This window comes from Homo sapiens, chromosome 18 (assembly GCF_000001405.40).
Source record: "Homo sapiens chromosome 18, GRCh38.p14 Primary Assembly".
NCBI lineage: Eukaryota > Metazoa > Chordata > Mammalia > Primates > Hominidae > Homo > Homo sapiens.
The window spans coordinates 37,553,980-37,581,363 of record NC_000018.10 but is presented as its reverse complement, the minus strand read 5'-3'; the positions used below and the strand labels follow the sequence as shown (position 1 = coordinate 37,581,363).

Below are 27,384 nucleotides of genomic sequence, written 5' to 3'. Positions count from 1 at the left end.
ATTAGGCAGATGACTATAAAAAGCACCACATACCTTAAGAGTGCACAATGCGTTATCCTTCTTAGTCTGGGCAGTCAGGCAAGTAAGGCCTCCCTGAAGCAGTGATGTTCAAGCAGAAAAGTGAAAACTGACCAGGGATTAGTGAGCAAAAGAAAGAGGAAGAGGGTTCCAGGAAGAAAAACAGGGTGAGAAATATTGTGGATGGCTGTCAAACTGGATAGAAGCAGAGGGGGTGAGGATGAGAGTGGTAGGAGCCGGGTTCGGGAACCCAGGACAAGGGGAGGAAAGAGGTCACAGGAGAAGGGTCCAGAAGGGGTGGCAGATGGGACAGGGTGAGTGGTGAGGATCCGGGAAGACCAAGTCAATGAGCTGGGCTCTATCTTGGAGGTAATGGGGAGACACAGAAGGCTTTTAAGGAGGAAACTGGCAAGACCAGATCTGTGTTTTAGAAAGGTCATTCTGTGCACAGACTGAACTGTATTTGGGTCAGAAAAGGCAGGGTCAATACAAAGAAACCAGTTGGCTGACTTTGGCAACAGTGTAAGGAGAATGAGAAAGGTGAAAATGTAGGAGAACCAGTGGGATTTGCTGACCAAGGGCATCTCCAGGATGAGGGAGAGGATATGGTCAAGGGTGATGCGTGTCCAGGCTGAGATGACTGGGTAAAAGACGGGGTCACTAGCCAAGGTAGGGACTTCAAGTGGGGGAGATTCTTTTTCTCATGAGAAGAGAGTCACCCCAAATCTAGCATTCTTCTCTTGGAGCCCTCTAGAGGCTGGGAATGAGGAGCTGAAGCTCAGTAAGAAAGATTAGACTAGACATGTTGCCTTGTATGGAGAACTGCTACCCTATGCAAGCAGGTGGTGGCCCTAAGAGATTGTGAAAACTGCAAAGAAGAAAAGTTCAAAGATGGGACAAAGGTAACCCAGCATTTAAGGACTGCACAGAGAAAGAGGACCCAGTCGAGGGGACTGACAGAAAGCAGTAAGTTAACAAAGAAAGAACAATGTGTGTCCTGAGAGAAAAGAAAGAGATTTCCAAGATAAAGTGATTAACAGCATTAAAATGAAGACTTTAAAAATAGCTACTGGATTTGGCCAATAGGAAGCTACTGAGGATTTTTGTAAAAATAATTCTGGTAAAGTGCGGGGGGCAAAGGCCAGCTTTGAGTGTTACAGAACAACGAGAAACAAAGAGGAAAAAGCAAGGGTAGCTATCGGTTTCAAGAATGGGTGTTTTGGGGAGAAACACATGAGAGCCGGAGTTTGTAAAGGTATTGGCTGTTGTGTGAAGGAGTGAGCTCTCCTTTGATGGCAGTGCTTAAGCAGACTGGAGAAACAGGAATGCTGGAAGATGGCTTCCTCCAATGACCATAGGAGTAACAGAGAGGCCTTCAAAGGGCCATTCCAAATCTGAGAATGGAAAACAAGATCTGTCCAAAATGTCATTTCCACAGAGCTGGTTTAGGATTGAGAGCCACACTTCAGCACCAGAATACCAGGATTAGAGGGGGTTAGAGCAGGCAGCATTTCCCTGGGCTTTTTGGATATGAAGCAAATAGCATTGCATCTTCCCTAAAGGGGTAGTTGAACTGGAGGCTATGTGGCTTGGGCTAGAGAAAAGGATTCAGGAAGGAGCAGTGTCAAGGAGGAAACCCCATTTCCTCCCCTAGGAGAAAGTCAGCTCCACTTGGAGACAGCCAGGGAAGGGGGATCCGGTTGCAAACAGAGTCATCTGTCCTTCCTCTTTGCTCTTCCCCAGGACTGAGGTAGTGCTCCCTTAGGTTCCTGACTAATAGGGAAGCCAGGGAACACACTGTGCCTCCATTTCCCAACTCAGGGAGGAGGGGGGAGTTGGGGCACAGCCAGCTGCTGGGGCAGCCTCCCTGGGAGCTAGCCTCTGCACGCCCTGTGCCATCCTCAGCTGCCAGCCAGGACCACAGAACAGAAGGAGAGGAGGAAAGAGAGACAGACTGATGGAGGAAAGGAGGCACATGGAGAGGGGGAGAAAAAGAGAGGAAACAGCCATCCATTACCATTACCAGACAGTGAGTGTGGATGTGCATGTGTGCACGTGAGAAAGACAGAGACAGATCTACATTCTCTATCTAACCCTGAACAAGTCACCTCAACTCTCTGGACATTGCCAAAGGCGTAAAATGAGAAAAGTAGATTAGAAAATACCTACGGTTCCTTTCAGGTTGAAAATCCTGTGTTTCTCAAATTCCGTATCTGTATATATATAGCACCCCCAGAGGCCAAAAGCATTAGCAGCACAAAGAAAATAAACCCAATGAAGAAGACGTGCTCTCACACGTGTGTCCCTGACAAACACGTGCACGCTGCACGCGCGTACACACACACACACAGGAAGGAGGGTGCTGTGTTGAAGGACGTGCCTATACGTGATGACAGTGGTTAGAACATCTGCATATAAAACTTGTCTGATCAGTTTACAATCACATCTCTTCTACACACTAGTAAATGCTTAATCTTGACCAACCTAAATATTTGACAAATGAATCCTTTTGGATTGTCAGGCTCTCTAGGTAGCTAAGAATTTACACTTCACATGATCAAAACTAGTTTAAAAAGCCACCCCAGAAGGAAATATTTAATTTGGGTTTCGGTTTGGGGGTTTGGAGTTTTGGGGTTTTTTGTATTACAAATGTCTTAAGCAAATTCAGCACTCGGTGGCACTGGTTGTTTTCTGCTCTTTTAGCCACGGTGCCAAGCATGGTGCTGGGCTGGCTCACAGAGTGAATGAGCTATAGGACCGTCCTCAGTGTCTATGCACCTGCAGGAAGGGACATAGTGAGGAACAGAGTCCAGAGGCTGCCTTGATCAGGGGAGGATGAGGGCAGAGCAAGCCTCCCGCGGCACCCCAGCCAGCCACTCCTCCCATCTCAGAGCTGAAACTTAAGTAGTGAAGGGGGAGGGAGGAGAAAACAGGCCCATTTCAAACAAAGCTGAAAGCTGTGAAGACTGGGCTCCACCTCCTGTTTGGGTGGCTCTGGACCACCTGTGGCCACTACCTAGAGGAGTAAAAGGAGAGTGGGTCTAGGCAGAAAGGTAAGTTTAAATAGATCATCCCCCTCCTCTCCCTGTCCATCCTAGCTGCCTGTGGTGCAGGAGAGTTCCAGAAGTGATCTACGTGGGATGCACAGGAAGAAAGCTGGAAGCCAGGGTGTGCCCCAGGCCCCCTCCCTGAAGGGGATGTAGGAAGGTATAGGGGGACCCAGAGGATACCTGCAAGCACAGTGGCCAACCGGGGCTTGGTGGGCTGGGCTCTGGGGCTCCCACGACCCAGACAGTGGCAACCACACCCCATAAGGCCCACCAAGGCCCCAGAGGACACAGTTTGAGGACAATCCAAGGCCCCCTCTCCCACACAGGATGTGTATGTTTCCCCTACCTCAAATGCCATCTCAGCTAGAGGGGAGAGGAGGAAAACCTCTAAAGATGGGAGATTTGCCCATACAAGACTAGTTTACACTGAAAAGAGGGTGTGTTACCTTTAACTAGCAGGTCTGAAGTCTTCCTCTACCCTTGGCATGGGTGTGACAGGGGCCAGGGGAGTAAATGGCAGTTAGAGAAAGTGAAGGCCACTGCATAGTTTGGCCCTTCACAGTGTAAAGCCCTGGAACCGGATGCTGCCGCAGGGGGCAGCTGGTGTGGTGGGTTCTGGCCCCTTTCCTCATCTGCACTGCCCCCAGCTGAGGATCCCTGCCCAGGCTCTTCCTGAGAGGCCCCACCCCAGGGCTAAAGGCCAGGGATCTGACCGACAGGGGCATTTCCAGTCCAAGAAACAGCGTAGAGCAGGCAGAGCTGCTAAAGCATCCCCGCCCGCTGGGGGAACAGCGAGGGTGTGGAGCAGGAGACACAGGCCCTCTGCCTCCCTCAGCGCCAAGTCAGGGAGGGCTCCCAAGCCTCCCCGGATGGCACAGAAGAAGGAAGGAGGCCCCAGACAGCCCCATGGCAGTTTATCTTCAGGCCAGCCTCAGACTTAACCTGTAAGACCTGAAGGGCCAGAGAAGGCCCCAGGCTGCCCCAACACTGATTTCCAACAAAGGTTCCTTGCTGAGAATCTGTTTGCAAGACAAAGGAAGAAAAATGCAAGCAGCAGTGAGGAACATTCAGGCAAAGGATGAGTGAGCCCAGAAGGGAAAGGGTGTGTCCTGTGAGCAGGGCTGGGGAAGGACTGGCCTGGGGCCCAGACAAGAGGGTGGACCCACCAGACTCTGGATCTTGGCTCCACTCCCTCTCTGCTGATAGCCCAGAGCCCAATGTGACAGCCAATGGAGGACCTTCCAGATACAGTGTCCTTCAGAGCCTCCCTCAGCCCACAGCCCCCTGGTTGTTCTGGCCTGTCAGTCCAGCAGACTTGGGGCTCCATTTATCACAGGTCCTGGCAGTCCCCAGGCCCCAGGGTCCATCCTAGCCACTGCACTCTGGACCATGTGCACACACACACTCACTGACGAAGACAACCAGCCTCAGTTAGGGTCTGGACACCCTCTTTTGTCCGTGATCATTTAATTATTAGATTCAGAGTGACATGAAAATACTCCCACCCTCAGATTTTGCCATCTCCCAATGATAGCACAGAACCTGCATGTGTTTTCACAGCCTAGAAAGCTACTTTTATCATCACCATCATCATCACCCTCACCACCATCAGGGCCAGGTGGTACCACAGAGATAATTTAAATGTTTACCAAACAGATGGGCGAGGTCCCTTGTCAGGAGCAGTGAGGACCAGGCTCTAGGAGAGATGTTCATGAGAATGCGAGTCGAAGCTAAGAAGGGGAGAACGTGGACAACTGCAAAGGCTCAGCTTTATCCAATTTGCACAGTGATAGTTTAGGAACTAAATGACAGAGGAGAGCTAAGCAGGGGAACTCATCCACTGCCCACACAGGACCAAGGGAATCTCGGGCATGCTCAAGGGCTGTATGGGTTCAGAGCCAGACAGGCCAGGGTTGCTGCAGTGCTGAAGCTGGCTTTCCAAGAAAGGTGGCACCCAACAGAGCCACCAAGGTGGGTAGGACTTGATAGGAAGACAGGAAACAGCATAGCATAAGCATTAAATATGTGAGCCATGGAAACAGCCCATTGGATTTTGAATTTTTACTGTCACTTCCTGGCTATGTGACTCTAAGAAAGAAACCTAACCTCTCTGATCTTTAGTAGCCTGGTATGTAAAAAGCCAATGCCTCCCTTATAAGGATGCAGAGAAGAACAACTTAGCTGGGAAAGGGACTGGCCTGTAGCAATCAGTAAAGTGGACACACAAGGTAAAGGGTAAATAAAGGCAGAGGCTGAAATGAGAGTAGCGTGTATATAGAGGCAGGGCATACAGGAACAGCCCAGAGGGCCAGGCCCCAGCAAGGCAGGCTCCCAGGCTGCATGCGGCTGTGGCTGGAGGGGGCTGCCTCTGAGGCCCCGTCTCTCCTAGGAAGTCGCAGCCTGGGAGGTGGTGGCCCTGCCAAAGCATTGTCAGTCTAGCCCTGTCAAGGGCTTTCTTCCCATTGGCCATGACTCTGACAGGGAAATCAGCAGGCCGGCGATGCGGGCCTGGGCAGCGCAACAGACAAGGCTCTGGGGACAGCTTAAGTGGACAATAATTGCAGGTTATTATATACCGGGCTGCAGCCAAAAGCCAGGCAGCTATTAAGTGTGATTGGGAGAAATAATCCGGAGGAAGAGGATGGATGGGAGAGCCAGGCCGCTTTCTCTGTTCCAGGCCTGTTCTGAGGCTGGGGGCTGTGCAGAGACAGGGACAGGGTGGGTGGGGAGAGGAGCTTATTCACAGCATAAGCACCTTGCACTCTGAGTAGCAAGTCCACCCTCATTCCTCCCCACAAGGTATGCAGAGCAAGGATATGGTCCCCATCTCACGAATCAGGGAATGAGGTCCAGAAAAGGGAAGCAGTGACCCAGGATACAGGGCAAGTCTTGGCTGAGTCCCTCCAGAACCCAGATGGAGCTCCTTTTGTTGTTTGATGACCAAATACAGAATCCACTCTCCCGAGGCAGGAAATGCCTCAGTGGGGCAGCCTTGATGTTGAGCAGGGACTGGAAGCAGAGATCAAGACCCAAAGTGGGCACAGATCCCATCACATTGCTGCCTGCCCAGCAGACAAGATGATGGGAGAAGACTAAAAATCGGAGGAGAGGCAGGGTTATGATAATAGGGTTACTTCTCAGAGCTTTATCTATTCATTAGATGCTTCTCTAAGGAGAATTTTCTGCCCATTTTATAGATGAGGATACGGAAACAAAGAACAATGGCATGGCTTGTCCATGGCAAGGCGGTGATGTTGTAGTTCTTGCTGGTCTAGGGACCTGCACACCCCACCCCAGATCTGCCTATTAAGAGAAGCCCTTAGCAGAGGTGACCTTTACCCTGCCCTTTGCCACCAGCCTGGGAGGATTTGTGGTTTTATCCTTGTTAGCCGGGGTTTCCCATTTCTTCAGGAGGAGAGGTGGCTCTTTTTTGGGAGTAAGGATGGCCTGGATTGACCCCCACGGGGTAAAGCTGCCCTTTAATGATGTGTGGATCACACATACCTAACTTCCTACTCTCACACCCTCAGATCTTTTAAGCCCACACCTCATTTTGGAAACAAGGATGAGGCACCCTAGTCCCAGACACACAAAGACCATGGGCGTCTTCAAGGAGATTCCCGAAGACCAAACCATCCCGTTCATTATTTAACCAAGGCAGCTTCTGTGGAGATAGCCCTACAGTGATGGGAACATCAGTGGAGGGGATATATATCATGGGTGGGTGGTGGACAACCCTGACTCCTCCAAACACAACACCTCAGCAGACATCCAGGAGTGTCATGTAAAAGGCTCAGAGCCATCGCAGGTTCTAACAGCCTGTCCCTCCCTCCTGGGATCAACTCTCCCACCCAGCAGTCTCAGAACCCCAGCCTAGATTCAGCCTGGCCCAATGACCCTGCTTTGGGTCACATGAGAGTAGAAACCTGGCGCAGGGAGGGATCAATTACACTGTGACTCAGCGAGAGGGAACAGGGCCAGGGAGTGAGTCACAGCAGCGTGCCCACCCTCCCTGGCGGGGAGGTGGGGGGATGAAGGCCTGTGTGGGAGCCTCCCTGTGTCAGGATGTGCAGGTGTGTGGGTGCAGGCTCCCCTGACAATGGAGGCAGGGGGTACTAGGTGTTTACCACAGGGTGAGCGCCTCTCTGAGCCTGAAGGCAGGTGTGCATCAGGAAGCTGCGGCATTGAAAGAAACTCGTGGGGGCTCCTACCTGACATGGGCTTCTCTCCCTCACACCCTCACACAACTTTGCCCCCAACTGGAGATGTCATCCACTTGCTGTAATGTGGAAGGGGCCAAACTAGTTTCCCATTATGGATGTCTTTCATTTCCCTAACACCACTTGGAGGGCCACTGAGGAGAAACCCCAAATATCGTCTTTCTTAGAACATCTCCATGTGCTATTATACATATTCCAAAGTTATTTTCTGCAATGGCTTATACCTGGAAATGAGTTTGTTCATTTAACAAATACACTCATAATCATAGCTAACATTTATTGGGCACCCACCATGTAGCAGGCTCTATGTACGTATTACCTCTTTTAGTCATCATGACAATCATATGCACTGTTATACCCATGTTTCTGATGAGGAAATTGAGGCTCTGAGAGCATGGCTTACATGGCTGGTAAGTTAAAGATCTGTCTGGTTTCAAAGTCCAAACTCTTTCTAAAAACAATGCATGCACCTATGCACATATGTATATAAAAAGTACAGTAACTTAAGTCTGATATATACATTTTTAAGCAATAAATATCCAACTGTATTTACAGACTGTATTTCTTTAAACTGTACTCTTTGAACAAAATTTATATTAATGTATCTGTTTAATAAGACACCAAAATGTATATATACAATTCCATGTACACTTTGGAAGACTTTAAACTTACTAAAAGAAGAATGCCATCTAGAAATTATTGTGGGGGATATGGCAACTTTCTTGAAAACCTCTGACATCTCTTAAACATTCCTAATGGCAGCAAATTCTCATCCTTTGAGAGCAGAAATGATTTATGGAAAATGGGCCCAATATGGTGACCCTCCCCCTCAGCATATGTGTGTTGGGGGTCAGAGGAGTGATTTCTCCCTTTGTATCCTTCCGAAATACCCAGGCATCTTCTTTGTCCTGGTCTTGTACTGTTGATTACCCTCTTCTGTGTTACTATCAGCCAGTCAGCATATGGTCATTGAGTCCCCACCCTGAGCCTTTCCTAAGAGCTGGCCCTTCTGCAAACCCCCAACCCACGGCCACCTGCCACCCTTGGAACACAAGCCTATATCCTTCCATAGCTGCAGCCCCCTACTTGACTGTGCCTGTGCCCCCTCCATCCTCAGCCTCTCCCTCCCTCTCCCCAGGCCATGAAGTCAAGCACCCAGCTCCCGAGTGAGTGACCAGGAGGGTCCACCCAGCTGGGGGAGTCCGAGGTCTCCAGACAACCACCCTTTAAAGATGTAGCATGGTGCAAAGGTCCTATAGTCTCACCTTCCTGAGACTGTGTCCAATTGGTGTCCCCCTGGCCCCACCCAGCCACCTCACTCCTTCATGTCACATGCACAGCCTGGAGGCATTGCATTATCTGAAGGATTGTGTAGGAGCCTGGAGGCAGTGGGGAATGTTAGGATTAGAGAGAGCCCAGGTAGAAACTGTTGATCTAATGGCATTATCAGAGAAATCGTGGCCCTGCTGAAGTGACATTTACCCATAGCATTGTGTGTGTAATAAATACAACTTCCTATTCCAGTTTCCAAAGTGAGCCCAGTGCCTGAAAACCTCAGGGCTCATGTACAATAAATTAACATAATTAAAAACTAATTAGTAAAACATCACAATTAAAAGGACTTGCTGAGGCAACACCTCTCAGGTAAGAAGAAGGGACCACCAGAGTGCTGGCAGCTACTACGCAGAGCAGGTCCTAAGAAGAGGCTGTGATGCAGGACTTACTATCCCAGAAGGCCTCCTTCCCCAAGGGGCACCTTGAGAACAGTTGAGCAGCTTGTAAGGACACCCACAGCATGTCCATCTCAAGTCTGGACACCAAGTCCAGCCCCAGCCAGAGGTGGATGCCCCTCCTCCTTTGTAGGAGGTGGGAGGGGGCTTCAGCAGGACCCCAGCCCCCAGTGGCCTGTTAGTGACACTGATAATATTGGCTGGCCAGACATTGATCTAAGCACTTTACCTGCATTTACTCATTTAATCTTCACAACACCTCTATGAGGTAGGTTTTATTTCTCTTTTTATTTTACAAATGAGGAAACTGAGCCACAAACAAATTAAACAACCTGCCCAAGGTCACAGAGCTAAAAAGTGGAAGAGGCAGGACTTGAAGCCAAGGAGTCTGGCTCCAGAGCACAGGCTCTGCCAGCTTCACCTAAATGCAGCTAAAACCACATGCTTGTGCTGGATGGAGCACTGCCCTTTAAAAAAAAAAAAAGTCAATTCTTTGGGGAAGATAAGGAGTAAACTCCTAACCCCTCAGTGCAATTAAGTTCATCAAATTTATCTACATTCTTTTATAGCCCATTTAGACCCTCAATCCCCACTCTTGTCACCTTAATAATTTTTACATGAAAACTGATTAGTCAGCCTCACAGACGTGCCACTGTCTCATCTTTTTTGGATGTGATATGAGGAAGGAAAGGAAGGTGGAAGAAAGGGACCCCAGTCTCCACTTGATAGAAGAGAAAGCTGACGCCCAGGAGAGTGATGAGTCAGGTCCCCACTGCTGAGTTCTGGCTCTCCTGGCCACATCACACAGGATGCCCCTGTCTGGGACTCTGGGGTCCCTTCATTCCGCCTCTCACACTGCCTCTACATTTCCTACCTGTCCTCAGCACAAGTGAGGCGAACCCCCAGGGTTAGCATGAAAGCCTGGAACAGGAGCTGACCACGGACTCCCAAAACCATTCCCTGCCAGAGCCAGGGCTCCCCTCACAAGACCGAGGCAGTATGGCCCTGAGGCTCAGCCAGCAAGAAAAAACAGCTCTGAGACCCCTCTTCTGCCAGCCCTGGCACCTGTCTGAGACCTGGAGACAGCTCAGTCCTTCTAGGGAGCCCCTGGGTTTCCCAAACACACAGCGTTCTCCCTCCAGTGGGTTTCCTTCATGCCCAGACCTGCTGTGGGCTCACAACAGGACAGGAGGTCCTTCAATTGTCTACTTGAGTAGCAGGAGGCTGCCAATATTAGCTAAAAGGCAGTAGGGATTGTTTTTCTCTTCCTTTCTTGCCCCAATTATTGTTCTTTATATCACTGAACTTTCCTGAAGTATTCCAGGTCAGAGACACACTGGGTTTGTGGAGAAGACCATACTGCTGAGGCTGCCTGCAAAGCCCCATCTTGCCTACCAAACTGATAACCACATGGGAGCCTCCTCCTTCTGTGTGTCATGCAAGAACTCAGAGCCCACTCCTCACTCCAGGCCTTGCAACTCCAAACACCACTTCAACCTGAAGGCCACCTCTCTCCCCTCTTCCTGAGCTGAAACACCCCTTCCTACAGGGCCAGCAGGGCCTGCTCCTCCAGAAGGCCTTCCCTGAGTGCCACTGCCCACACAAGCTCCACCTTCTCTGGGGGTCCGTAGCCCACACAGCCTGCTCCTTTCACTTTGCCCTTCAGTTGGATCATACCCTTTGTGGCCATTTGGCTCTTTGAGTCCGTTTCTTTGCCCAAACAGCACATGAGCCCTATACAGAGTACAGGGGAGTCTCCGTTCCTCCAGCCTGCCCTCACTGCCCTCTGCAGGTCTGGGCAGAGCAGTCGCTCCATAGAGATGTTTAATTTGAGGTCTGGTCTGTTAGGGAGCCCAGTGTATATCTCAGCTCTGTTTTCAGCATGGTCTCAACATAACCTTGGAGTAATCCCTGCTTTTCTCCCTTCCAGTTTTAAATCCCCAGCATCACCCAGCGTACCACCAATCTGGCCCCCTCTGCATCCTGCCTTCTTCACTGCCTCTTTCCTTAAGGCTACTACCCCCATCACAGATCATCACAGGCAACTTGGATTGTTTTCTATTTTCTCCTATGTGGAACTCCTCAGGCCTGGAAGACATTTAACCATCTGTTGCCATTTGCTGTTCTGGGGCTTTTCACTGGGTATGACTTTGGTCTAACTAGACGGTGAGATCTTTGCAGCCTTGTCCTTTCTTGGCTGCTTCCAGAGGGAGGTCAGAAAGACTGGATGAATGCAAGAATGACTGAGTGGTGATGCTTCCAAGTAAAGCAGTGCAGACCCAGGATGCTGAACTGCTGCGGGTCTTCTAAATTACCTGTTCAAAAGTGTCCGCCTGGGGCCCTGCAGCTCCCCTTCCTTAGAGCCCATATGAATATAGTGTTGACACCACTCCCCAAGTCAGATTAGCCACCGGTATCTACAAACTATATCTTAAGCACCTACTGTGCTACCAGAAGGGGTTGCAGAGGAGGAGGAGAGACCAGATTACTGGGTCCTTGCCCTCCATGAGTTCACAATTGAGGGGGAAAGAGAAGATTTACAGGCAGGAGAGCCAAAGCAGGCCTGAGGTTGTGCGGCCATGGCCAGGGCTGCTAGTTCAGTGGGTGTCAGAGAGAAGAGGGTGACCAGTGACAAGTGGCTCAGCTGGAGGGAAGCTGAGCCCAGTGAGGGCTCCCTCCCCTCCTTGAGGAACGAGAGAAGCAAAGGGAAGCGAAGGAACAGGAGGTATTGGCAAGGCCTGAGTAGCTAGCCCACCTGAACCTAATCCCCCACAGGACTTTCTAACACCCCCAAAGATGAATCAGCAACAACATATAAACACCAAGCCCAGAGAGAAAATGAGAAGCAATTGTTCCCAGCCCCACTTCCATTTGCTAGCCTTCTCCCTCTCTCTCAGTGGGTGAAATAATTGTGGCCATGAAGTGGCACTTGGAGGGAAAGTTAAATCTGCTTAAATGTCACAGTGAGTAATACTTTGCCCATCTTTCTCTAATTACATTTCTCTTTGATGATCTAAGGTTAAAAAAAATTTTAACTCAAGTCTTCCTAGAATATCAAGGGTGAGGATACCAAAGAGCCAACCTAATCATGTTTCATACTATTTTCTCAAGGGTCCTGCTCTTTTATTGCATTAGTCTGAGACACCTGTCTGTGTTATTTTATCCCCAACACTCTGCTATGGAGGAGAGGTAGGAGCCTAAGAGATCCAGATCTGCACCTTTAAGAGACTGATGCCTAAACAGAAGCTGCTTCTGCTGCTGTTTACACTGGGTAGCTCAGTTAGACAGGACTTAGTGTCCTGGGGCAGGAGCTGGGAGGGAGGACATTTCGCCATATATCTGTCAGAAAGATGAGAGGTAAGGGTTGTGCCACCTGCTAAGGTGAGATAACCCAAATCCAAAATAAGCCATCATCAGGTGGGAGAAGGGGGAGGGTGGGGATCTCTAAGGAAGGAGCAGCTCTCCACAGCTTTGAGTCCACGGATGAAGAGACACCAGGAGGGGCCGTGGTGCACAGGGCAGGGGAGCAGTCCTGGAGGGAACTGGCACTGCACAGAATGGAGGAGTCTTCATGGCATCTGAAATAGCCAGTGCCCCCTTTCATTAACAAGCCCACTCCCTGGCTCACTCCTGCCCAACGATTGCTATTATTTATGTATTGACTATTATTAATAATAACATGAGTAATTAACCCCCTGTGAATAATTTACTTGGACCTAGGGGTGCCTTGGGTGGTGGCAGGAAGAGGAGGGTGAACTTCAGTGACTCTCCCCTGAGCAGTTCCCTTCTTTTCCAGCTGCCCTTAGCTGGCCCCTTTCCCTTTCCGATGTCCGGGCTTTGCTTTCAGGGGTTGAGAGGCAAGGAGAGAAAAACAGACCTCGAGCAGGAATTTACTCTCCTAAACTCCCCTGTGATAGCAGAAAATACATGCCACTCAGCTGTAGGATCCTGGGTGCCATGCACCAGCACCACAGGATGATGTTGGAAGAGATATCTTGGACAGAGTTAATAGCCACTGCTGATGTGTCCTAGGGGACCAGAAGGAGGAGGTCTCAACCTGGTATGGACACACACATATATGCAGTGTGGATACACGCAGGGTCCGTGCAGAGACCCACGCTGCATCCACACAAGCAGGCACACACGGCCAAACCACACACACAAACTCTCCAAGTGCTTAGCAGGGACTTGCCCCCCTTATCAGGGCACTTCAAAGGCACACCAAATACACAACCACCACATGGCAAAGGCTCTATATGTGAGTTTCTGTTCGAGTCATCTACTTGGTCGATTCTTAGACCAGCATACAACACCGGATAACGTAAACCCGGTAAACCAAGTGACGAATTAACCATACTTACACCCGATTCCGGCAAGCAAAGGCAGGAGAAGCTAAAATGAAAGGATGAAGTTCCACAGTTCTAAAAATCATACTTGCTCTTTGGTTTGGGCCCGGGATCCTCAGAGAGAGGCGTCCTGAGCGGACTCGGGGCCTGGGGCTGCGAACCTCGGGCCTCCGGGCCTCCTCCGGCGCTGGAGAGCTCCGTATTGTGCTTGTACCAAATGGGGTTGGCCTGGGTTTGCAGGCAGCTGGGGTCTCATTTCTTTAATTAAAATTGCAGACATATCCTCTAGTAACGTAATGTAATCCGAGGGCAAGAAAAGAGAAACCCTGAAACCCGAAAGTGGCTAGCCGAGGGCCGGCGGGGGTTAGGCCAGCCGCTCAGCCCCGCCGCCCCAGCTCCCCAGCCCCGCAGCCCGCGGGGGAGCGGGCGCGTTATTTCAATTTGCCAGGCTTCTGAAGCGAAGAGGCTGCCCTGAAAAAGCAAACATGAGAGAGGACGGGGTGCAGGTAAATATCATTAACGTGAAAATCTGCTACCCCAGCCAAGTTCACCACCAGTATTCACCCCTACAGGCGGGGCCGCTCGGACCCTGCTCCCGGCTCCGCGCCTGCCACTCCCTTTCCCGCGCAGCCGAGATGCCAGCCCCAGTGGGCCTGGCGGGGAGTCCGGCGGGGTCCGGACCGGGCGGCTCGACCCCCGGTCCCCACGGCAGGAACGACTCAGCCTCGCACCTCGGGAGCTGTAGGTGCCGAAAACGAAACCCGCGGGGGCAGCGCACGCCGCGCGAGTCTCGGTCCGGCGGCAACCCAGATAGCGATTCAGGGGCTTTATTCTTTTGATGGTGATTAAAAAAATATATTCTATTTGAACCCGTAAAGCAGACGAGGGCAAATCAAGCCATCCCCCGCGCTGGCTCACCGGCCACCGCGCCCAGCGCCTTCCTCCCCCTCCGGCGGGCGAGCGGGCAGGGGCGCCCGACTCCTACCTTCCTCCCGCCAGCCACCGGGGGACCAGCCGCGCTCTCCGGGGCGGGGGAGGCCGCCCGGGACGGGGACCCCCACCTTCCGCCTTCGGAAGCGGGTTGGGGCGGGGGTCGGACCCCGAGTCTCTACTCCCCGTCCCTCTGCCCCCCGGCGCGGCCCGACAGCTCCCAGCCCCATCCTGGCAGGTGGCTTGGGTGGCGGTAGATGCCGGGCGGGAGGAAGATGTGGGGCTGCTCTGGCAGGTTGGGGGTGCGAGGAGGAAAAAAAAACAGAGAAAGACACACACAGAGAGACAGGGAGAGAGCGCGCGCGAGAGAGCTCTTGTCTATAGATTTATCCACATAATATATATTTATGTAGCTTTTTTTCTCTCGACACTGATGAATGCGCGCTCGGATCCCCGGGCGGACTCCCTCCAAGCCGGCTCGCTTTTCTAGTCTAAATAAATAAATAAAGCCAGATGGAAGAAAAAAGCGCCCATTCCACCTCCGCCGCCGCCCCGCCCGCCATCCCTGCCTTTGCTTCGCCCGCCTGGCGCCCTAATAGAGCATAGCTTGGTGGATAAAGCCCCCCTACATACCCACACGAAAATAAAAATCACTATTTTTAAAATACAAAAAGTTGCACCTGCTGCTATTACAAAAAGAACCCCCAAAAGGCAAAGAGAGGAGGCCGGCTGCCCGGCTCCTCACGGACACCCGCTCCCCGCGGCCGCCGGGCCCGGAATCTCAGCGCCTCCCGAAGAGCCATGCGCCTGGCGCTATTTATAGCCGGGGGCCGTCTCGGACTGTACCATCGCCACGGCGCGGGGCCGCCGACGGGGGAGGCGCGGTGGCCGCCGCCCCACGCCGCCCTGCCCCCGGCCGCCGCCCGCCGTGGCGCGGGCCCCCACAGCGCGCCCATTCCCGGCCCCCCGCGCCCTCCTCCGCGCGCGCACACTCGCCACCCCCACCCCTGGTCTGGCTGGGAACTTGAACCGGTCCAGCCTGTTTAAACGGAAAGGACAGAGATCCTGTCTGTTCAATGTAAAAAAAAAAAAAAAAAAAAAAAAAAGAAAAAAAGAAAAAAAAAATCAGATCAGACCGAGAGAGAGAGGAGAGAGGGAGAGAGAGAGGGAGAGAGAGAGGGAGAGAGAGAGGAGAGGGAGGGAGGGAGAGAGAGAGGGGGGAGAGCAGAGAGAGAGCGCGAGCGCGAGCGAGCGAGAGAAGAGGAGAAAGAGAGAGAGCAGAGAGCGAGCGGAGAGCGAGGTGTAGAGAAACCGAGGGGGAGAGAACCCGAGTGTGTGTATGCGTGTGCGTGTGTGAGCGCGAGCGAGCGAGAGAGAGGAGCGAGAGAGTGTGAGCGAGAAAGAATAAAAGGAAAGAAGATTTTCTCTATGTATATAAAGATGGCCACGTTAGCAAACGGACAGGCTGACAACGCAAGCCTCAGTACCAACGGGCTCGGCAGCAGCCCGGGCAGTGCCGGGCACATGAACGGATTAAGCCACAGCCCGGGGAACCCGTCGACCATTCCCATGAAGGACCACGATGCCATCAAGCTGTTCATTGGGCAGATCCCCCGCAACCTGGATGAGAAGGACCTCAAGCCCCTCTTCGAGGAGTTTGGCAAAATCTACGAGCTTACGGTTCTGAAGGACAGGTTCACAGGCATGCACAAAGGTGAGTACACCTTTCCCTCCCAACTTTGCCGGGGAGCAGGAGCGGGCTGGCGGGCCGACCGGCCGGCCGGCGACTGACGAGCGGCGGACTAAGCGAGAGGAAGCCTCGGGCGGGCGCGGTGGAGGGAGGCGCTCGGGCAGCGGAGACCAGAGCTGGGGTGCGTGGGGAGCTGTTCGCTGGGGCAAGACTGGGTTTTGGGCGAGGTGCTGATAGGAACGATGCCATGGAGAGAGCAGCGGGCGCCGATGAAGAGAAAGAGAGAGGGGATCGAGGAGACGGGGCTTGGATTTTTGGGTACAGCGACCTGAAAGATGGGGATGGGGAAGGCTGCACCGGTCGAGCCCAGGACGCTGAGCGGACGGACTCGCGGGCTCCTGGCCGGCCGAGGACCGAGGGTGCTGTCCATCGCCGTGGTGCTGAAAATACTAAAGGAGGTGGTCTCCTCATCCTTTGCTCCGGGCTAGAGTAGCAGGAGCGCAGCCGTCTAAAAGGGAGAGAGGTGACAAATTCAAAGAGAAATTTTTATTTAAATGTAACAGTAAACTCTCCCTGTCGAGCTGTGTGCCTCAATAATCTGATTGTGGTGTGAATGGTGGTGTGTGTTGGGGGTGGGGGGGTTGGATGTTTGAAGGAACCAGTGATAAAACCTAAGGCAAGAATTAGCAAGGAACCAGCCATCCCCTGGGTGGAGTGGGGGGTCTGGCAAGCCTGGATAGTCCCCTTCCCAGGAAAGCGGGGCTTTGGGAAAAAAATATGTGTGTGCGAGATTTGCATTTTGAAAGGTGTACCCTAATTTATCCCAAACTCACCATGCAGAGAGCTTTATAGTACATTATTTCTCCCTTGAAGCGATCATTGCCAGTGAGTGCTTGGGGGAGGGGGAGACAGAATAATCAAAGAATTAAAACACAGCAACTTTTTAGGAAAGTGGTCATGGGAATTGTCCGCAGCCTGCCTGTTTTCTCCTTGTTTTATTATCTTTAAAGCAGAGCCCCAAACGTGTTCAGTTGTAGAATGTGTGTGGGTGGCTGGTGGGTGACGAAATTAGCCCAGTGCTCCGCTTCCTAACAGTAATATATAGGATGTGCAGCGGGAATGAATCGGTGCTGGATCTATGTGGGCAAGTTAAATGCTTTCTGAGAGAGATTGATCGCCAGGCAGGGAAGGAGCACGGGGCTAAGGAAGTTGTAGGGGATGTGTATGGATGTTCCGTTTTTAATAAACAGTAGTGTGGAGAGCCGCCGAAGATGCTGTTACAGCTGGTGGTTTTAAAGATGAAAACACACGCACACCCACCCCCACATAGAGAGCAGCCTCATCCTTGGCCACAAATGGGCTATGGACACAGCTGATCCTCCAGCACATTAGGTGCAGAGCGCAGAGCTGTCTGGCTCTCTAAGCAGCAGCGATTTTCACTATCACAACCACCCTCTTTCTCCAGCCCTCCCTTCGTTCGAATACTAAACAGAGCTCCAAACTCTTCATAGTTGGAGTCCCAGAGAGCAGTTTTTATTGGCTTTAGTATCTTCCAGCTTGCCTGCTGAGGAGTAAATCTTAAAGTTAATGGCATGTTGAGTAACACAAAAACACAGCAGAATGGAAATATACTGGGTTTGTTGGGGTGGGGTGAGGGTGGGGGCTGTAATGGAGAGAGAAGGCAACCTTTATCCAATATGGAGAAAATGTCTGTCTGTTCAAAAGAGAGATTGGAAAGGTGGAACGGGGAGGCAGCCTTCAAAATAATATTCGAAGAAAAAAAGAAAACACTTTCTTTTTCCCCCCCTCCCTCTCAAGTCAACCATATCTTTGTAGTTTTTCCCCTTCCAATCAAGCTTCCTAGAAGCTAATCAAGGTTTGTATCAAACCTTTGTTATTCTGAATGTCCTCATTGTAAAAAATAGTAATAATAAAAATTTTGAAAGCATAGGTAGGGAAGTCTTCTGCTCATCTTAATGATCAGTTTTTATGGTGATTTAAGATTTTAAAGTTAAAAAAATCAGAACTCACTAGAGGCAAAAGACAGTTATGAGGAGCTGGGCTTCATATGGCATCTGGATTAAAGCACTTTATTTGCTTCTTCATTTCAAATGAAGATAAACTTTAACAATATTCCTTGGTTTCTTTTCTACAATCCCTGATATCATCACTTTGTTGCTGATGTAATTTGGACTCTCTCATATAATAGCAAAGAAGTAGAATTTTCATCATTTGCATTAGGGAGGTAGAGAAGGTTATGATTATATATATAATATATACGTAATACATATATTACATATATTTTATATATAGATATAGATATCGATATATAAAATCTGGCCAGAATTCCTAGGACAAACAAAACTTCATTTTCTAAATAATTTCTCCCCTAAACTGTCTCAGTCAGTGGCAAGCAGGCCCACTAGCTCCGGCATACTGGGTTCCTCGTTGTCGCAGCTCACCCTTCAGAGCCTGAGCATATATTTTTCCCAGTGAAACTTCCTACCTCTCCATCCTTCTGATTTTTATAATCGAGGTTGGACCACAATGTCCCTAACAGTGCTTGCAAGCTCTCAGAGAGCTGAATAAATGAGACCGTTTCCGAGGTCTGGTTTATTCAGTCCTAGAAGAGTTTAAACTCCTTCTTCGGTGATGGAGCCTGATTTATTAGCTAATCCTGATAAAATAAGCCTCCGGCCACCTTAAAAAATTACTCGCTTGCCATTGGTGATTAATTACTGTTAAGTCAGAAAGCATGATGAGGCTTGAGGAATGAGTGTTGCATTTGGTTTCTAGATTTCCCCATCTCTAAATTGACAACATAAGGTTAGGGATAGAATCATGCCTTTGTTAAGCCTGGTTTCAGGGCATATTTGTGCCTCTTGCTCTCCCCTTCCTTAATTTCTAACTTCTAATGAATCATACAGGATCAAATTGAGAGACACAGGACACTGGCCTCCAGTTTGGATGTCATGTTTATGTTAGTGGCAAAAAAAAAAAAAGGAAAAGGAAAAGAAGTAAAAACTAAATTAAACACAGGAGGTTTCAGGTGGGTCTCCATTTGTTGGCCACCTGCCATTTCAGATATCTAAAGAAGGAAGGAGTTCTAAGGGTTAATGGAATACCTGCCATGCGTAGAGTGCACCTTAAAAGGCAATTACTCCAGTCAAATTGGGAGTCTGTGGAGGAGGGAGTGGGTGGGTGTTGTGGAGCAAACCCAGCCATATCAGAGAAAGGCTGTTGGGCTGGGGAGGCAGCAAAGAGCAGTTGTGGACTGGGGTGATTACTGTAAAGGTAAATTTACCCCCTGGAGGCCAGAAAGCAATTGGGGAGAGGGGTATCTGGGTGCTAGGCAGAGAGAGAAAGGAAGAAAAAAGCCCAGAATTAAAATTCAAAGAAACAACACCCAAGGAAGAAAACCGAGTTTAGTGCAAACTCTCCTGACCAACTCAGAGTCTTCTTTTCTCCCCTATTAGAGCACTTTGGGAAAGATTGTTTTTCCAGGCTCCAAAGAGAAAGACATTGTACTATTGATTAAAGAGAAAAGAGATGAATTCCTCGGGTAGCAGCAGAAATGAGCTGAGGGCCAATTTTACCCCTTTTTGTAGAATTTTTCTACCCTGGAGAAGGGAACAGGTCACCCAGTAGTCCAATTCTTCCTTTCTCTCATTTTTAATTTGTTTCTCTTTTCTTCTTTTCATTTCCTGTAGAACAAAAAGAGGCAGTGTCTGAAGACACATATATGTACACATACCCATGCTTGTTAACACTCACATAAACAGTGGATCACACATGAAGAAATCAGCAATCCATTCATAACTTTGGTCCTGTCTAGCTGGATGGGAGGCAGCAAAGACTGAGTTACTGGGAGATATAAAGACTAGTGCTCTCTGGATAGCCATATTATAATGCATTATCTTTGAAGTCATTTAAGTCCAATTTAAGTGGTATTTAGTATAATATTTATGAATTAACGTAATCTAAACATAAGGCTGTCCCCAAAGGTTTAAACAGCCTTTACTACTGATGTGTGCTTGTTCCCAGAGCCTACGATGCATTTTAATCTAAACGGCCAAGTCCACATCATAGTCCCTCTTGTTATCCAGTCAGAACAGATCTGTGCCTGGGTAACCACTCTGCTTTGAGATTTTCTCAGCTACATGGAGGAAAATCTACTTTACCGGCAGCCTGGGGGACTCTCAGCCCAGGAGCCACAGCTGCAGGGATTTCAGCCCCTCATACTTCCACACTACATCCAGAAGTGTGGGGACAGAGCAATAGAATCTTCTGTGGATTTAGCTCCAGAGAGTGTATCATTTTAAAATATACTCACCACCACATGCACAATCTTCTATTTCAACTATACCTGAATAGGAAATGCCTAAAGCCCCTTGATTTGGGGTTTAGCTGTGTGAAAGAGGAAGGACGGGGATATGAATATGTTTTGCTGATTTGTGACCATCTTCATAAAATTATGTCTTGTATTTGTGTTTAAGATATAATAATTCTCAGAACACTGAATTTCCACCGCTTGACTTTACCCAAGATGGTTCGTTGTTTTGTGGGGTTTTGGGTGTTTTTTTCCTGCTGTAGACAGGTGATTTAAACTGTGAGGCTCTATGTGATTTCCATTTTCAAATGAGTCTAAGAGACAGTGCAGCTGAAGTATTAGCATGGGCATGAGCTCAATTAAGATGAACTTTTTTTTAATTACTTTGAAAAATAAAAATTCAGTTCTGTCCAGGGGGAAAGACTGGCAGAATGGCTAGGTACACACCTATAGCTTTTAAAAGAAAGATTTGCCTTGTCAGAGACAGGGAAGACTGAATAGCCATAATCAGAAAACAAGAAAAGCATTTTTTAAAAAAACAGGTTTCACCAAAGAAAATGATCAATAGCAATCATTACAAACCTAAAGCATATCAAAGCAACAATCACCATTAAAACAAACTCCAAATTCCAGATGTTGATAAGTGTCCTACTTAAGAGCAAAGAAAAAATATTGGGAAATGATTTGCTTATTTAAGAGACTGATGGTTATTTGCTGCTTATGCATAATTTCATTTGTCTTTTAAACAGACTTTCTTGGAATCAACAAACACAGAGATAAATTAACATGCACATATGCACGTATATGTTTTCATGTGCAAGCATGACTAAGCACATCCCACACATATGGAAACCAGGGCTGGCCTAGATTTCAGTGCAATTCAACAGGGAGATGTTAACAACGTCCCTCCCATCCCCAAGCACACACAGTTTTAATGGGAATTCTAGATTGGGTTGAAATAACCCCCTTGGTATACTTTCACTCCCTTCATCACCTGCTCCAATTGGCTGGATGTTTGTGGCCTCTCAAACACAACAAAATGAAATCTTTTCTTGAATGAAATCATAGCCATAAAACAACGCAAAGGAAAAAAATGACAAAACTGCCTGCCATCACTATGCCCCCTACACACTCATGTAGTGAAGTTCTGAGTTCTATCAGGGAGCTCGTGTCCCAGGGCATTCCCACTGCCCAGTGATCTTGCCACACTCCAGCAACTTGATCATGGCCATTATCATCACTAATAGTAGCATCTTCCTCCTCATTATTACAGCATCTATATCAGGAGGGAAGAGGGGCTTCTGAGTGAGGCCTTGGAATATATCCAAGACACCACCTTTTTGCTTGAGAAAAGAGCTTGTCTCAACTTTGCCTCTGTCCAGGGCTCACACCTTCCATGTCATCAGGAGAGAGTCAGTTTCCAAATTGACCCAGAAGGGATCTCACCTAAAGAGAATCTGGAATAAGTAGGCTCTAGAGGGCAGAAATGTAACAGAGAATAAGGCTCAAGGTGGCAGGTAGAGAAAAAAAAAAGTGAAAGTTGTAGGGTCAAAATGCCAGCTAGAAGCTGGGAGTGCCCGTTTACAGTGGCTGAAACCACAGCAGTTCTTGAACTTGGAAGGGAAATCCCATGTGACATGCAGAGAGAAGAGCTAAAGGGTGTGAAAACCTATGTGTCTGTGGGTAGGAGGAGGGAAGATGCTGCAGCCTGTGTGGGTGTTGGAGTGAGCATGTGTGTGTGCATACACACACACAGGGAAGAGATGACAGATGCAAGTGGCATGGAGATGATGTTAGGGACAGTTTAATCTTGCAAGGCTATATGCAGGATCAGGGAGAAGGGTGAAGGAGAAAAGGAGAAAATCTGGAAAGAATGATGCTGTCCTCATCATTACATACATGATCCACCTCAGAACTCCTGGCTTGGATTTGTCAGTGATCCAAGTCCTGGTGTGAAGGTGTGCTTTTTGTTTTATCTGCCTGATATCCCCATCCAGAAGTCCTGGTTTGGAGGAGGGTTCCATCCTCATTCCCCACCCATCACCCTTTTAAGGCTGGCCTGCTTCTGCTCACCCACTGACTCATTTTAGCAATGACCTTCCATCTGGAATCTGAGTGGCCGAGTGGCCAGCCGCAGCTAATTCCCTTCACCCACTGCATTTCCCACCTTACTCACTGCCTCTTGGTATTCCAGGCGACTTTCCTTTTATAGTGTACACACACACACACACACACACACACACGACCTGACAGCTCAGTCAAGTCAGGCCCTCCAAGCAGAATACTGCATTTTACCTAAATCCAAGCAGGGCGTGGCAGGGAGCCGGTTGCCCTCCTTTTGGGCTCTCTATAACAAGAGCAGAAAATCCACTCCTTTCACCTCTTCTTTTCCTGCAGGCCTTTAGATACGCAGCCTCTCCAAGAATTGCAGAAAGCATCCAGTCCTACCCAAACAGCCTAGGGGAGTAGAACAGAGCCCCCCCCACCCGCCCCCCACAATTTCACTGAAGCCCTTTCATCATCCTTCCTCTCCTTTTCTGTCTTCTCTGACATTTAAGATATCCACCTAAACCCCAAAGTGGGGCCTGAAGAAGGAGATAAGTGTTCCATTCGGCAACATAAGAGAAGTTAAAGGTACCAGGACAGGGAAAAAAAAAAAAAAAAAAAACTGTTACAGGGGTAGTAAAAGCTGCAGAGGAATTTCCAGTGTTGATGTATTTGCCCTAAGAGCTTCCTCCATCTCCACCCATCAAGTTCCGCATAGCCCTAGGTGGGTATAAAGCCCAAGCCACAGCCCTACCCACAGGAACAAAGAAGGAAGCCAGGTGGGAAGCCCAAGGTGATTGCCTTGATTTTTGAGTCCTCAAAAGTAGAAGGGGAATTAGTGGGGCATGGTGGTGCAAGCCTGTAGTCCCAGCTACTCAGGAGGCTGAGGCAGGAGTATCGCTTGAGCCTGGGTGGTGGAGGTTGCAATGAGTGGAGATTGCACCACTGCACTCCAGCCTGAGCAACAGAGTGAGACCCAGTCTCAAAAAAAAAAAAAAAAAAAAAAGTAAAAGGGATGTTTTCAGGACCATCCATTTACAGGGTTTCTCCCCTTCTACTTGTTCCACATTTGGTTTCTCTTATCCTTCCTTGTATCTCTTCTCTAGCATGAGCTGATCGAGGATTTCAAACAGGGTGATTCCCCGCAGCTCAGCTCAGGAACAAATCCTATGTGGCCTTCTGCAAGATGGAAATAAATGGGTGCCCTCATGGAGAGAGACATAGTCCTGCTTCTGTGGGGACAGAACAGCCAAAAATATTGATCAAACTCAGGAAAAAAATTGATAATGAACTGGCTTCCTACAAGAGCTTAATTGACAGAGACTTCCGAAGGCCGGCTCTGGACAACGCATAAACTGACCGCGATGTTACTTTATTGCAATGCACTCTGCTTTAATTAATTATCACCTTTGTTAAGAGTGGCTACAGATCAAAGGTTTCTAGATACTTAACACATCTTTTGAACAAAGCCCCGATGTATTAGACTATTCCACAGCTGGCCAGCAAGGCAAGCTAGCTTCCCATTTTCTTCCCTCTTAGCTGTTGGCTTCCTCCTCTTTGTTAAAGACAAAAAATCCTTTCTGCACAGCCACTGTGTTCAAGGACCGGGATTGTGAGAACTGTTGTGCACCGAGGGCAGGGTGCTGCAGTTCAGCAGCTGTTCCTAAAATTACACAACTTGGTTCACCCTTGAATCAATCTGACTGAAATAGGGAGTATCAGCAGAAGAAAAAGGAGTTTATAGAAACACAAAAGGGGGGTGTGTGTGCATGCACATATGCACGTGCACAAGCGACTATGTGCACATCCACATAAATATTGTGGGATCAATACATTTCACATCCGCTGCCCACACCTCTTAACTTCTCCCTCCCATCTCTTGAGCACCTGTGCTACTGTCGTATTTCACACTGAGAAATGCTTGCAGCTGAAGCATGCATAGATGATGCTGTATTGAACCAAGTCATTGTTTGGATTCAGTTGTGGAGTCTTGGTGCCCACTGAAGGATGGTCCTCACCTGGGGTATGTAGTACCTAAAGAAGCCACTTCTTAAGATGTGACAGGAGCCTCACTCTCTAGAGTCCCCAAAACCTACAAACTGACAGGTGACTTACTTGAAAGCAACCCTTGGAGTCATTCTAGGCAGATTTGAATGCCATACGTGGCTGTTTGTTCATTATTCTAATTTAATGATGCAGTCACACCTAATTAATCCATGTCTGGTTTATTCATACACTATGTCTGAGGATCCAAAAGATCTCTCCAGCTAGCCAGTTTCCCTTTACAGGGACAAGCAAGGGGGCATCCATGACAAGTGAGGCTGTCTGAGTTCAAACAGGATGGGATCACTCACTGTAGACCAAGCTGATAGAGGCTACTGACCCTGACACCACCTTCCATGCAGGTAGGCACAACAGCAGCCACAGAGATGCACAGCAATGAGGTCTGTGTGACCATGCACAAACACACACAAGCACAAAAAGCATGCCTTCTACTACAAACCTACACAAACCCATTCCCTCTAAAAGTTAAAGGGCCACATCTCACCATGTAATAAATCAGGCCTGCTGGCATGCCAGGCTTTCATATGATTGGAAGTTTTGGTGCAGAAGGTTGAGACCCTGAGCTCAGTAAACTTCCCCTCTCTGGTCTTTAGAAAGTAGAGCTGAATTAACTGTTGCCACTGCATAGATAAAGAGACTGAGGCTCAGAGTAGCGTATGCCCAAAGTCAAGCCTGCAGCATGGTCTTCAGTGCACCTCCCAGTGGCTAGTTCTGGCCAGACTGCTCCCAGTGAGTGCTGTCTCTTGCCTGGCAGGTAAATTGAGAGAATGAGGCATCAACCTAATAATATCCTTATAAAGCCAAGCCTCCTTGCGCAAGTCCTCGGAGACAAGAGGCATCTAAAGATCAAACGCTACATCACAGTGTATTTGTAGGAACTCTGTGATTCTGCTACCTCCCTATAATGCTGTAACTGACTATTTGATCAGCTCTAAAAGGAACAGTGTTCAAAACAGACTCACACACACACACTCATACACACAGTCACACGCACACTTACATACACGTGAACACGCTCGCATACATACACACACATACATTCACCACACAAGCATATGCGCACACATTCTTTTGCATACCACATGCCATGGTACCCACACCAGTTCATGCAACAAAGGTCAATTTTCACAGGAGATGCTTGAAGGTGAGTGAAAAGTATATACCTAAGATTGTATGTGCCCTTCCAGTAATGGGCTTATCAATACCTCTTAAAGCAATGTGACAGCCAGCCCAGAGTGATTCAGTTGTGTGGACAAAGGTCAGCGTATAGATATCCATTATTAATAATATCAATATCTTGGTTGACCAATATAACCAGAAACTGTATCATGTCGCTGTTGATGGGTGAGGCTGGGAGGACTCCACAGCAATAGCCGGAAATTATGCCCATGTAAAATTAATCATATTGACTGGTTCTAAGAATATACAGCTAGGCGAAGATCTTGGGAGAGCTTTTCATGGTGGGAGAGGGGGTCCTTGTTCCCAGAGGCTTTATGGTTTTGAACTCCTGCAAGGAGACCGGGGAAACAGAGGCGTCCCTGAGTGACCGGTGAGAACACTCTCCCTCATCCGGCCTTTGCTTTTCAACAGGGTGGGGTGGAGGAGAGGTGTACTCTGAACAGGAAAAGAAGGAAATAGGATCCCCTAACCATTATGCATCCAGTATATCCATATCTTTCTGTCAAATCAATACTTGGCTTGGCTTGGTCTCACCGGATGAGGCACGGAAAGCATGCTTGCCCCCGCTGTGTGAAGAGGTCTCTCTCCAAAGGGGTGGCATGAGCCTGAAGCCACATCCCATTCCTGGGGTGGGATATACTGGCTCCAGGAGATGCCAGTGTGCACTCTGCAGCCTGGGTATCCCAGGAGGAAAGGAAAGGCCCCCAATCATATCAATCACTGTGATTAAATTCTTGGGATCAGCAGAGCCAGGGACTCAGGGTGCTGCCCTGTCAGCATTGCTGGTAGGGTGGGAATATCTTGGACTTCAGAAAGCCATTTCTCACTGAGGCTTACTTTCAGCCCCAGTGACTGAGAAGGAAAGCCTTTGCATCCTTCCAAGGGAAGGCTTGGAATTCTCTTGGGGCAGTCCTGGACCCCTCACTCTCTTTCTTATAAGAACCCTGTCTCAGGACGTCCCTGGCCCTTCTTGGCAGCCATAGATAACACCTGGAAGGATGTCCTGGGGAAGAAGTGAAAAGGAGAGAACCCCCGTGTCTGGGCGCTCCTCAGAATGGAAAGAGGGCAGTCAGGAAGTGTCTCTGGTGACAGCCAAAGGCCCAACTGGCTTTTTGATCATTCTCTGTTTCCAGAGTCGTCAAGGCAACTGAAAGGGAGCCTGCCTTAGAGTCCAGGCCCCATGCTGGGCATGATGATGAATAAGAAAGGGGCTGCTAAGATGAGGGGCGGGTGATGCCTTTGATTGTAAAGGAGGGCAAGTAAATGGGGCCTGTCGCTGGAATGGGAGATGGGGCTGCTTGAGGTAGAGTGCTCCCCTTCTCATAAGAAACAGCTCAGGCCCCAGTTGACCAGCCACATCCTACCTTCCTTTGATTTGCTCTCCCACTCACCCAGGGTCATCAAGAGGCAAGAAGGTCCGCTGGCCTCTGCACAGTCAGGGTCCCACCCAGGTGCTCACATCCAGCCTGCGGGACAAAGAGCCCTGCGGGTCACTGCCGTTCCCTCCCCAGTGCACACAACCCAGCCTTCCTTGCAGAGCCCCAGCCCCCGAGGCTGCCCCAGACAGTTCCCAGGCCCCCGGACTGGCTCCCATCCCTGCCCAGGCTGGGCACAGCCTCAGAGGGTATATGGGGAGTGTGGGTTCTGGCACCAGCATTCAGTCATCCGCCCAAAGTGCCCTCTCCCCTCCTCAGCCACAAGGCCTGGCTCTAGGTAGCTCTAGGGAGAACAGCAGAGAGCCCAGAAGCTAGACCACTTCTTTACACCTTTTTCATACCTGG

General features: G+C 49.3%; 1 protein-coding gene and 1 long non-coding RNA gene across 121 annotated transcripts in view, besides 7 other annotated features; one reads left to right on the top strand and one right to left on the bottom strand.

Moving 5' to 3' along the window:
- Positions 3,127–3,700: an enhancer, noted in NCBI's record as "NANOG-H3K27ac-H3K4me1 hESC enhancer chr18:35157627-35158200 (GRCh37/hg19 assembly coordinates)". NCBI's record gives its function as "activates a minimal SCP1, AML or CMV promoter by ChIP-STARR-seq in primed H9 embryonic stem cells {active_cell/tissue: H9 hESC(primed)}" and the evidence as "EXISTENCE:reporter gene assay evidence [ECO:0000049][PMID:30033119]".
- Positions 3,701–4,274: an enhancer, noted in NCBI's record as "OCT4-NANOG-H3K27ac-H3K4me1 hESC enhancer chr18:35157053-35157626 (GRCh37/hg19 assembly coordinates)". NCBI's record gives its function as "activates a minimal SCP1, AML or CMV promoter by ChIP-STARR-seq in naive and primed H9 embryonic stem cells {active_cell/tissue: H9 hESC(naive and primed)}" and the evidence as "EXISTENCE:reporter gene assay evidence [ECO:0000049][PMID:30033119]".
- Positions 4,849–5,422: an enhancer, noted in NCBI's record as "H3K4me1 hESC enhancer chr18:35155905-35156478 (GRCh37/hg19 assembly coordinates)". NCBI's record gives its function as "activates a minimal SCP1, AML or CMV promoter by ChIP-STARR-seq in naive H9 embryonic stem cells {active_cell/tissue: H9 hESC(naive)}" and the evidence as "EXISTENCE:reporter gene assay evidence [ECO:0000049][PMID:30033119]".
- Positions 6,565–7,104: an enhancer, noted in NCBI's record as "H3K4me1 hESC enhancer chr18:35154223-35154762 (GRCh37/hg19 assembly coordinates)". NCBI's record gives its function as "activates a minimal SCP1, AML or CMV promoter by ChIP-STARR-seq in naive H9 embryonic stem cells {active_cell/tissue: H9 hESC(naive)}" and the evidence as "EXISTENCE:reporter gene assay evidence [ECO:0000049][PMID:30033119]".
- Positions 7,105–7,644: an enhancer, noted in NCBI's record as "H3K4me1 hESC enhancer chr18:35153683-35154222 (GRCh37/hg19 assembly coordinates)". NCBI's record gives its function as "activates a minimal SCP1, AML or CMV promoter by ChIP-STARR-seq in naive H9 embryonic stem cells {active_cell/tissue: H9 hESC(naive)}" and the evidence as "EXISTENCE:reporter gene assay evidence [ECO:0000049][PMID:30033119]".
- LOC124904288 (uncharacterized) lies at positions 14,676–15,087 on the bottom strand. Its single transcript, XR_007066345.1, has 2 exons — positions 14,975–15,087; positions 14,676–14,785 (listed from the first exon to the last, which is right to left on the bottom strand). It is a non-coding gene; the product is annotated as an uncharacterized LOC124904288 (long non-coding RNA).
- Positions 15,519–16,022: an enhancer, noted in NCBI's record as "H3K4me1 hESC enhancer chr18:35145305-35145808 (GRCh37/hg19 assembly coordinates)". NCBI's record gives its function as "activates a minimal SCP1, AML or CMV promoter by ChIP-STARR-seq in naive H9 embryonic stem cells {active_cell/tissue: H9 hESC(naive)}" and the evidence as "EXISTENCE:reporter gene assay evidence [ECO:0000049][PMID:30033119]".
- CELF4 (CUGBP Elav-like family member 4) overlaps positions 15,566–27,384 on the top strand; it is a 322,955-nt gene continuing 311,136 nt past the window's right edge. For all 120 annotated transcript variants that reach the window (NR_148519.2, NR_148522.2, NR_148518.2 and 117 more), the window contains exon 1: positions 15,566–16,008. Coding sequence is in view for 109 of the 120 variants with exons in the window: in XM_047437652.1 (XP_047293608.1) it covers positions 15,723–16,008 (286 nt within the window). In the remaining 11 variants the exon portion in view is untranslated. The remainder of the gene's footprint in view (positions 16,009–27,384) is intronic.
- Positions 26,523–27,288: an enhancer, noted in NCBI's record as "OCT4-NANOG-H3K27ac-H3K4me1 hESC enhancer chr18:35134039-35134804 (GRCh37/hg19 assembly coordinates)". NCBI's record gives its function as "activates a minimal SCP1, AML or CMV promoter by ChIP-STARR-seq in naive and primed H9 embryonic stem cells {active_cell/tissue: H9 hESC(naive and primed)}" and the evidence as "EXISTENCE:reporter gene assay evidence [ECO:0000049][PMID:30033119]".